Consider the following 10,979-nt stretch of genomic DNA (forward strand, 5'->3'; position numbering starts at 1 on the left):
AAAGCCTGGCTGCAGGCTTCTTGAACCTATTTACCATTCTTTTTATAACAAAGACTCGAGCATCATTTGCTATCTTCATAAATTTCATCAGTACTTTTGCCCCCAGGCCCTGATACAGGGCATTTTATAAGCTTTAAAAGAGAAGTATTACAATGGTATTTTCAATTCAACCTTCAAATCCTTTGCACAAGGAGAGCCAACAGCAAATAGAAAAGACGCCACAGGGGGCATCATGGATCCACAAAGACCCAATATGCAGGAGAACATGTCGGGCAAGGTAGTATTGAGATAAAAACCTGTCACACGTGTACTTAATTTTATACAATAAGCAACAAGGAATGTTTAATGTATATTGTATAAAAAATTTTTCAGGCCGGGAGTGGTGGCTCACACCTGTAATCCTAGCACATTGGGAGGCCCAGGCGGGCGGACTGCCTGAGGTTGTGAGATCGAGACCAGCCTGGCCAACATGGCAAAACGCTGCCTCCACTAGAAATACAAAAATTAGCTGGGTGTGGTGGTGGGTGCCTGTAATCCCAGCTACTCGGGAGGCTGAGGCACAAGAATCGCTTGAACCCGGGAGGTGGAGGTTGCAGTGAGCCGAGATTGTGCCACTGCACTCCAACCTAGGCAACAGAGTGAGACTCTGTCTCAAAAAATTAAAAAAAAAAATTAATTAATTAATTAATTAAAAAAATTTCAAGTGTCATCGAAATCAGCAACTTAGGGTATTTTGTGTAACTGAATATTCTGATTAAGTGGGGGCTGCCCTGTATGCCACTTAACATGACCAATTTCCAAAGATTAGATGGCCATAATTGCCCTTGACACTAAAATCATGTGAAACACAGCCAGTTTCTTTGATGACTCAAAACGTACTTTGTGATCTTGCCAAGCTTTGAGATCATCGTTACAAGCAGCATTTTGGTTGTGAAAAACAACTCTCCTTATTTAACCTTTTGGGGTGGATTCTGAGCAAGAAGTTCCCTAGGCTACGGTCAATCTCGCTGAAATACAACCACCCACCGCTCCTTTCTGGGTTTAGAAATCTGGTTTTCAGAGGTGGGAGTGGCTTCAAGCAGCGTCTACCTGTGTTCAGAAAAGATGAAGAAAGACAGGCTCAGGCTCCCTGTATAGGAGAATTCAAGTTCATTGTAGTCACTGGTGACTGGTTCTGAAATTGAGGAACTAGTTTGAGGAACTTCAGAATAAACAAGAAACCCAAAGAACTCAGCTTCCACAGAAGGCTTCCAATGCATGGAAGGAGGCACAGGTCCAGCTCCGCCCTGTGGCGGGGCAACCTTGACCCTGGCCTCATTTCAGATGCTGCCCCACATGCTCTTTGACAAGCTGGACCAAGTAACCAGCTTGAGGACATGAGTGGCAGAGGGGTCCCTTTATAATGAGGGGTCATATTCTTGTCCTCCCTTGGGAAGGTAAAAAAGGGCTTGGGACATGGGGCATGATGAGGAATATTCTCAGAGGATCTCACACGATTCTTTGGTAAAAGAGGGTAAATCATGAAACAGCCCACGGCTCTCTCGTCCTCCCCGAGGCCAGCAGGGCTTAGCGGGAGGAGTTTGGATTCAAGTCTTGTACTTTCACTCAACAGCAAATATTTAATCAGTGGCTACCATGTTTCAGGCACCGTGCTGGCCAGCAGGAATATGAGGATGACCAAGAGCCTTCTCTGTTGAAACCCTTGAAAGGCCTTCTTGGAATGCTGAACCCAGTTACCTAGAAGCACTGCCTTGATCTACCTGCCTACAACTCTCTAGTGGCACCAAGCCTATGGGATGTGCCAGTGTGGTCACTGCCCTCCCAATTCTCACTTGGAGGGGTGGGAGGTGGTCAGTTATGTGTTTATTAGCTGGCTACTCACTGTCTGATTCTACTTTGAACTATATTTTCTTTTTTGAGAAGAGGACTTGTTCTGTCACCCAGGCTGGAATGCAGTGGTACAACCATAGCTTACTACAGCCTCGAACTCCTGAGCTCAAGTGATCATCCCACCTCAGCCTCTGAAGTAGCTGGACTACAGGTAAGCACCACCATGCCCAGCTAATCTTTTTTTTTTTTTTTTGACAGAGTCTTGCTCTGTCGCCCAGGCTGGGGTGCAGTGGTGCGATCATGGCTCATTGCAACCTCTGCCTCCCAGGTTCAAGTGATTCTTGTGCCTCAGCCTCCCGAGTAGCTGGGATTACAAGTGCCCACCAACACACCTGGCTAATTTTTGTATTTTTAGTAGAGACGGGTCTCACCATGTTGGCCAGGCTGGTCTTGACCTCCTGGCCTCAAGTGGTCTGCCTGTCTTGGCCTCCCGAAGTGCTGGGATTACAGGTGTGAGCCACTGCGCCTGGCAATGTCCAGCTAGTTTAAAAAAATTTTTTTTTTGGAGGTGGATCTCACTATGTTGTCCAGGCTGGTCTCCAGTTCTTGGCCTAAAAGGCAATCCTCCTGCCTTAGCCTCCCAAGTCATTGGGATTACAGGCATGAGCCACTGTGCCCAAGCAACATTTGAGCAAATTTCTCCTGACTGTCCCTACGCTTCTGAAAATGCACTTCTTTCCCCCAGAGTGCTGAAGTTGCCCAACTGTTACCAAGCTCCCGCTCCAAGCTGACAAGTGGTACAAGACCCCAGGGTGAGAGAAATACCAAGGTGTTCCCACCCAGGCACCTGCAGAATCCGAGACGCTCTACGCCTGACAGTGCTGGCTCAGGCTGGAAAAGGAGGGCCACTGGGCTGCGCATGGTGGCCTCCTCGCTCCCTCCAGCTCCTATAGTCATGGCTCCTGACCAGCACCGGGGTTGACCTGTGAGATGTCTGCCTTCGTGCCCAGCTTACCCCTGTCTTGGTGAGGTCCTCCAGGGCGGTGCCTCAATTGTGTTTGGTTTTCTAGCACCTAGCAGACATGGCCCATTTGACACACTTGGCAAATGTTCCTGAGTGAAAGGACAGACACACTTCTGAGGAATAAATGAGTGCCACAGGCTCTGAGAGCCTGGCTGGACAGGGACACGTGTCCACACTGTCCAATCACCTGGCAGGCTGGAAGGGAGGGAGTCACAACTTGGTGGCTGTATTCTAACTGCACCCCAGCAAGCAGGTGTCCTGAAAGATGGCTGTGGAGCCTCTCCTGCCATCCCCTTTCCTAAATGCTGACCTAGAGACCCAATTACTTCTAATTGCTTGAGAAGATAACCCTTCTGAACTGGACAACACCCATCTGGGCTCGGATTTGCATATATTTGCAAGTATCTAATACATGCTAGAGGGAGGTGGTGCAGGACTCTGTCCTTCACATTGATCTATACAAAGCTATTCCTGCCTCTCCAGGCACAGCATCTGCCAGTGGAGACTGTTGGGCAGGACTCAAGGAGTCTGGTGGGTCCAATCAACTCCCTTGGCCAAAGGAGTCCATCTTTTTTTTTTTTTTTTTTTTTTTTGAGACGGAGTTTCGCTCTTGTCGCCCAGGCTGGAGTGCAATGGTGGATCTTGGCTCACTGCAACCTCCACCTCCCAGGTTCAAGTGATTCTCCTACCCCAGCCTCCCGAGTAGCTGGGATTACAGGCATGTGCCACCATGCCCAGCTAACTTTTTTGTATTTTTAGTAGAGATGGGGTTTCACCATGTTGGCCAGGATGGTCTCAATCTCTTGACCTTGTGATCCGCCCGCCTCAGCCTCCCAAAGCACTGGGATTACAGGCACGAGCCACCGTGCCCAGCCTCCATTTATAATCTTAACTGGCAACCACATCCTCATTGGAGGCTGGCTAAGCCTCCTTTTCCTCCCAACCCTCCTGGCTATCCCTAGTATGGACCAGAAACACCTACCTTTTAATTCTGGCCCAGTAAAAGGAAACTTTAATGTCAGTAGAAGGTGGGTGGTAGATTTTGGCTACAATAATTCTTTGCACTTACAGGGGCCACCATCCAGATATGACATCATGACATCATGCTTCACCCACAAGGAAGAGCCTCTCACTGAGAGGAGCCAGGCAGATCAGCTAGGATAACACCCAGAGTATGCATGCACCTCCTGCACAGAAGAAAGATGCAGAAGAGCTTCGTGCACTGTGGGTTTGGACCCCTGTAATCAATCATTGAAAGTTACTAAATACCCACTCTAGGTGAGATACTGCTTGGCTAGGTAGGAAAGTGCCCTAAAGGTGTGGGCAACCTTTGAGACTTCCTGGTAATTGTATTTTCTTATCAACCTTGACCTCCTTTTGATTACATGAACCTCATGGTATAAGACAGCGTCCAACAAATAGCTTTCTGTTTACTTTTTCTTAGACCCAGGGCAGCAGCTGCTGTGGCTCCACCCTTCCCAGGCCTGGCAGAGCTTGCAGAAAGGCTGAGAGTGATAGGGTTGTGGTAGGGGAATAAAAGGAGAAGCTAGTTTAAAAAAAAAAATCCTGCTTCAGGATTAGTTCCTTCGTTCCCTGGCAGCAGAGTACAGTGAAGAGTCTGGGTTTTATAGTTCAGGCTCTGCCATTAACTAGCTGTGTGGCCTTGGGCAACCCACTTGGCTTTCTTGGGCCACCATTTTCTCTTCTGCATTTTCTCACTGCAAAAAATGTGAATGATCATGTCCAGGCTATAATCCTAACAGCTCTTTCTGGACAGTGAGGTTAAGGTTATTTAGCCATGCCAGCAGGAGGTGACTACTGGTTGGTCCAGACTGATGGGGTATGGGTACAGGGGCTGGGTTGGTAGTCTGCCAGAGACAGGGAACGAGATTATTTGCAAGAGCTGCAGCTTCATTAAAGTCAAGCCCTCCTTGTAGTTGGTCCTGGACATTGCTTATAGATGTCCCTGACCATAATCGGTCAAGTTCAACACCAACTGCACTAGTCCAGAACAGTGTCTGAAGAAAATCTCTGCGTTAATGGACACCTGATAGTGGCTTTAGCAGAAAGAGCGTCAGGAGAAGCTGTAGTAACCAGAACCTGGGAGGGAGGGATGGCTCAGGAGTACCCCCTGCTGCTTCTTTCTTGGTACAAATCCTGGTCCTAGAAGTGTAGACAACTGAGATGGTGGCAGGCTTGGGATTCCTAAAGCTTTCTGAAATCCAGGGTTTAATCTAGCCTTTACAATCGCTGGAGCTCTGCAGAGACTCCAACTCAGGTGGCTGAAAAGGAGGCAGGTGGAAAAGCGTTCCTAAAAGGTTTTTCACACCAAAATAGGGCTTGTCTCTCTGCTCTCTGCCAAGGGATTTCCCAGCTCCCCAGGGCCAAAGCTCCCCTCCTGCTTCTTTGCTGACTGTCACTGGAAGCAGGCCATTTTCCACCCTCAGGGTGGCTGGACTTAGGAGTCAGTGACACTGCTGATCTGGGCTCTGTGCCCCGTCCACGATCCCCCCTCCGCTGTCAGCCCACTGGCCCCAGAAGCCTCCTGTTTACCTCCTGCCCCCTGCCTCCATAGCCCTGGGGCTGGGATGAGGCTGATTTGTGGCAGAGGGCTCCTCACGAAGGTCTGCTCAGGACTTTCTCTGCAACTGTGCTGGGGAATAAATCGCCTGTCACCTACACCCCTGCATGGGTGACTCACCTTCCAGAGAAAGTGCTCTGCTCACCTAAGCAAAGCTGCTTGGAAAATGACTAAGGCACCTATCAAATGCACTCTGTGGGGCCAACCAGTTATGGAGCAAGGTCCAGGCACACTCTGCCTCTCACCTCCAGCCTGAAGTCAAGTGCAGAGCTGCCACGCCAGGCCTGCTGGTTTCATTTTCATCTGAACCGAGCTCCACATGAGGCTTGACATCCGGTGATCTATTTTTTCTAAAAACTAGCTTCACTTTAGAAATGACTCTTCGGCCATCAAGTCAGCTTCCCCAAGAGAAAACAAAATGTTATTTAAAGGGAACAGTAGCCTGGTGAGAGCCTATATTTTTGTTTTGTATTAAGGTGAAAAAAGACTTTAAAATATAACATGAAACTTTTTTTTTCCCTTGTGAGATTAAAACAAACGTTTTTCTTTCAAGAGATGGGGTCTCGCTATGTTGCCCATAGCTACTTGACCTCCTGGGCTCAAGTGATCCTCCCGCCTCAGCCTCTCAAGTAGCTGGGACTAAAGAAACACACGTCACCATTCCAGGCTTCTTGTGAGATTTAAAGGGGAATCTGCAAGTCCTTGACTGCAGATCGTGGGCCCCCAGACAGAGTCTCAGAGAGAAGCTGACAAAGACATCTTTACGAGGGGGAAAGGGTGGTGAGCTGGGGATGCCATGTGGTAGTGGGAACCTCATCCCACAGAACCAAATGTTCCCTCCTGTTCCCCCAAAGAACAAGTCCTTGCTGATCTACATGCCATACAGTATTTTCCCTTTCCTCACCTCCAGGATTAATGCAGGAACCTACTTGATCACGTGTGGGACACAGGAAGCCCCTAGACAGGCCTAGCTGTGTCTCCAGCTCAGAGTTAGGATTGTCAACTGGGCAGAGCCTGGACCTTTGTAGCCTCATTTGGAGTATGGTGAGGGCAGTATATAGTGTAAGACAGGGAGAACCCGAGAGCTGAAGCTTTTAGACTGAAGGACTGTCCCCCTAAAGGTCCTACTGAGAAAATGACTCTGGCCTGTCAGGCAGTCTGACCCTTCTTGACATCATCTTACAGAAAACAGGTTTAGTCACAATGCAGTAATTGGCAACTACTACTGCTACTATTACTACTACTACTACTACTACTATTACTACCACCACCAAACACCACCAACAAGAACAACAACAACAACAACAACAGTTACAGCCTCTATGTTCTGTGCTGGGCACTGGGCTCAGCACTTTACATATCTCCTCTCATTTTCTACTCAAAACAGCCCCATGAAGTATTTCTGATCCCATTCACAGATGAGGCACCTGATGATTAGAGAAGTGAAGTGATTTGCTTGCGGGCACACAGGCAGGCCGTGGCAGACCTCGACCTGACCCAGGTCTCTCTGACCTGACAGCCTCAGCCACCACATGTGACACGGAGACACCAAGGACTTGTTCTGTTGCTCTGGACAAATCACGGGCTCTCTGCCTTTGTTTCTACATCTGGAAAATGGGCACAAGCACACCTGTCCAGGCAGCAGGCTATTCATCTTTTGGCCTTTTATTAATTAAAAATCAATATCAATTAATAATTGATTGGTACAATAAATAAATAAAGCTGCTACCCTGGTTTCGTTATGTTCAAAATTGACATGTTTGGGGGAAGAAAATCCTTATCGTTTCATGAGCAAGGTAGTAGAAAAAGCAGTGACCTAGATATCAAGAAAAGGGGGTTTAGATTCTGAGCAATCCTGTCTGTTTCTCCTTATGAGGCTTCACTTTTCTGATCTTTGTCCCTGCCCTTCTTCACATGAGTATGGTGTGAAAATACAAAGACTGGCCATAAAATTATTCTTGATGCCACATAATTTCAAGGGATTTCTATCAGGGAGCTGAGGGATTAAGACATGTAGAAAAGCAAGAAGGGAAGAGGCTCCTTTAAACTAGAATACAAAGAGCACACCGGCCACTGAAGAAAAATGACTTTTTCTGCATTGTCATTCAGGCAGTCATAAGCCCAGAACAAAAAAATCTCATACTTCAATGTCCTGCTCAGCTCAACAGAAATGCTCCCCTACAATTTGCCCTACGTCTGGCCTTCCCTTTTTGGGCTACTACTTTCAGCATTTTAGCCAGCATCACCGAGTAAATGCAAAACCTTCACACATGCATCACTTTGAATGCCCACCCAGCTCTTGCAGATGCTCAGCCCCATTCTGTTCCCTTACTAGGGAATCCTGGTGTGTGGAGACCAGAGGGGCTGACATCCTTAGAGCTCCCTAAATCCACTGACATGGAATTGTCCCCGGCCCACCAATTTCACACTGGTGCCATCAATAGTGCCCATAATGCTCAGATGTTTCCAGTTTAACTGAAATACTAAAATGGGGCAAACAGGAAGCATCAGACACAACTGTGGTAGTGACTTATTAATCACGAAAGCAGAATTTTAGTTGCATTTTAACCTTTTGCCAGGAAAAAAAAAAAAACAACCTTGAGATGATGGAAGCCATTAGTAGAAGTACGCTGCCTTTATGCGTATTGGGCTGACTTAGACTTTTTACTTAGGACTGACTTTGCTTTTAAGATTTCTGAACTTTCCCCCCAGAAAGAACATCTGTCAAACCAACCAATATGAATCTGTCAGCTCTTCATCGAGGCAGGCAGGCTTGTTAGGAAAGCCCATGTGCTGTCCATTGAGACAGGAAAAAAAATAGGAAGTTAAAAGTGCCTTCACAGGCCAAAGTGATACAACACTGTTCAGAGGGTGCCAACAACGAAGAAAACAACCCTGGATAAAGCTTTCATCTCTTTCACATCTCCGCAGATCTCTCACCAGACCCTAGCCAGGGATGAACTGTTATCAATCACCAAAAAAAAAAAAAAAATCACAACAGTTGCCGAGGGCTGGACAACCAATCAGCGCAAGCCATCTTCTCAGCAGTAAATGATATACACATATTCCAGGCAGATCACAAAGGAGTCAGTGTTCAACAGGAGAACCAAAATGAGGAACCAAACCTTCATCTGTTGAGGCGAAACAGCCCAACCAGACATTTTTGTTTAATAGAGGGAGACTGATTTGGCAGGGTCTCTGTGGTGCCGCTCCCACAAACTCTTAACAGACAATACCAATGACAAAAAACCCCCTTCAGAACTGCTTCTTATAATCAGAAAACACTCAGAAGATGGCCTGAAGCTTGGCAGCGTCTTGCTGTCTGATTTCACAAAGAGCTGGTACACATACCTGGGTACTTATCTCTAAAATTAGAGTCAGAGACGATTACTTTTATTTTGAGATCTTCTGAGAAGTTCTCCACACCCTTCAAAATAAATAAGGATGTCCGAAAGGTGTCTGAAAAATTCAGAGGTCTGGCATCGCTCCAAAGAAACTGATTGATATCACTTAAAAAACACCAAGAGTAAATCCAAACACAACCAAAGTAAGGCAAGCACTTTTTAAGTGTCCTCTCACATTAAGAGCATAAAAACCACACCAAAAACTTCTCCCTCCTTTCTGCATCTCAGTTCTATAATGTGGTCCTGATCTAGGATTCTGGGAAAGACCCATCCTTAGTCCCAGCTATGAGGCATCAGGCAAGATATATACCACCCCCACTCCCTCATACACACCTGCCTCAGGTGCCTCGCCCATAAAACAAGACACTACAATCTGTCTTACCACACAGCCATCTGAAGGAAAACGGAGCTCACAGGTATGAAGACACTAAGCAAAAAACACATCACTAATGTTAAGATACTGTCTCCTTCTAATCTTTCAGAAAGACCATGTTTCTAGTCAAGGGGTTTCCAACATTTTTCTTGGAATAAACTCCAGACTCCTATTTTATATCATGACCTCACTCTAATCATTTAATTTCATGTGCTTTTAAAGTCCTTAATTAAGTCATTGGTGTTCATTGTCTCCAGCGATCAAAAGTAGTTTTACCATTTACTTTGCTGATGTATGTACCTTTTCACCACTTATCCTCTCCCTCATTCATACCTCCAGTCCACCCTTTAGGGCCGAGAGCAACTTTTTAACCTCGACTAGGAAGGAAACACTTTTTCTGAAGCTACCCAGCACTAAGGAGGCTCCCGGGCAGGTGGGAAACGTACGTACAAGTGGCCCCTCTCTGCCTGGTGCCCAGTGGCTGCAAGATGCCAGGGCCACGATGGGTTTCCAAGATGGGAATGTTATATTTGAACCGACAGATAAAGTCCCGAGTTGGAGAGCCCAGAAGAATTACAGAGGAGGACTGGGGTCCGAGGGCGGAGGGAGGATGCTGCGGGCGGCCAGCACTGCCCCGCTGCATGCTGAGGACAGGCTTAGCTCCTGCTCCCCGCCTTGAGGTGTGACCTGAGAACTTCCCATGAAAGGCCGGGAGGGTTTCACGCCAGGGCAGATGCCAGGGCGCACTCCTGCAGGAGACACGTCCGCCCCGCGGCAGGCGAGCTCCATCCTGGGGGCACTGGGGCGCAGAGCAGGCGGGCGGGCCTGGCGGCGGCGCGGGGCACTAGTGAAGGGGAAGCAGGCGGCCCCTGCGCGCGCTCGGAGCCAGCGTGTGGCCAGCAGGAGTGCGCGGCCTGGAGGCCCGGGGCGAGCGCGGCACCGGCAGCGCGTGCGAGGGCGCGCCCGCGGACCGCTGCGAGTGGGTTGGACGGGGTACGTCGGACTGCGCTGGCCTGGCCGCCGACCCCACTGCTCCGGGGCGAGGGGCCAGGCCGCAGCCCAGCCCGGGGCTGAGAGGCGATCCATCCCAGCCGCTCCCTGGTCGCCTCGCACCGGGCCCCAGGGTCCCGCCCCGTCACCTACCGGCCAAGCGCCGATCTCCCCAACCAAGCGAGTGTTGCGCTCCGCTCGCCCGCGATCTCCCGCCGCCGGCCGCCGACCGCTGAGCTCCCGGCCCGTGGTCGCCCCGCCCCGGTCCCGGGCTCCGCCCCCTCGCCTTCTCGGCCGCCCCCGGGGCCACGCCTCCCCCGGAGGCTGTAACTTTGCCTCGCTTCGCGCCTCCTTTCTTTGGCCGCACCGCGACCCGTGGCCCCGCCCACTCCCCTACGCCAACCAATGAGACGGTCGTCCCGGCAAGCCCGTCTTCCCGCTCCCTAGCAACGATTGGTTAACGAGGCCTGGTTTCCAGAAATGGGCACTATTTCCGGACGATGTTTGTAGAAGGGAGATCGCTGGGCGGGCGGACTGACAGAAGGCGGAGGCGACTAGGGTGTTGGTGGAACCACACATGCGCCCTCGGCTTCTGGCAGTCTTACCAGCTGCGTTCTCGAGGTTACGGGAAGGAAGGGCGAGTGTGCGCATGCGTGGGCACTCCCTGCCACTGACTTCGGTTACCTTGGAGACAGCGAGGCGCTCTCCCTCGTGGGTCGCGCGCGTTCCGCTTCCTCTCTGCTGCCAAGCGGTGGCGGCTGAGGCGGGAGGTGGTGG

At 49.5% G+C, this 10,979-nt stretch overlaps 1 protein-coding gene across 4 annotated transcripts in view, besides 1 other annotated feature; it reads right to left on the reverse strand.

The window, feature by feature from the left end:
- MAP3K14 (mitogen-activated protein kinase kinase kinase 14) overlaps positions 1–10,416 on the reverse strand; it is a 53,902-nt gene extending 43,486 nt beyond the window's left edge. For 2 of the 4 annotated variants that reach the window (XM_011525441.3, XM_047436998.1), the window contains exons 1-2: positions 10,356–10,416; positions 5,681–5,833 (exon numbers count right to left, since the gene is read on the reverse strand). The gene's annotated coding sequence lies outside the window, so the exon portion shown is untranslated. The remainder of the gene's footprint in view (positions 1–5,680; positions 5,834–10,355) is intronic. The other 2 variants (NM_003954.5, XM_047436997.1) reach the window with 1 other exon arrangement.
- Positions 1,108–1,247: an enhancer, noted in NCBI's record as "active region_12298". NCBI's record gives its function as "activates an Ori minimal core promoter by ATAC-STARR-seq in GM12878 lymphoblastoid cells {active_cell/tissue: GM12878}" and the evidence as "EXISTENCE:reporter gene assay evidence [ECO:0000049][PMID:35858748]".

Source organism: Homo sapiens, chromosome 17 (genome assembly GCF_000001405.40).
Source record: "Homo sapiens chromosome 17, GRCh38.p14 Primary Assembly".
Lineage (NCBI taxonomy): Eukaryota > Metazoa > Chordata > Mammalia > Primates > Hominidae > Homo > Homo sapiens.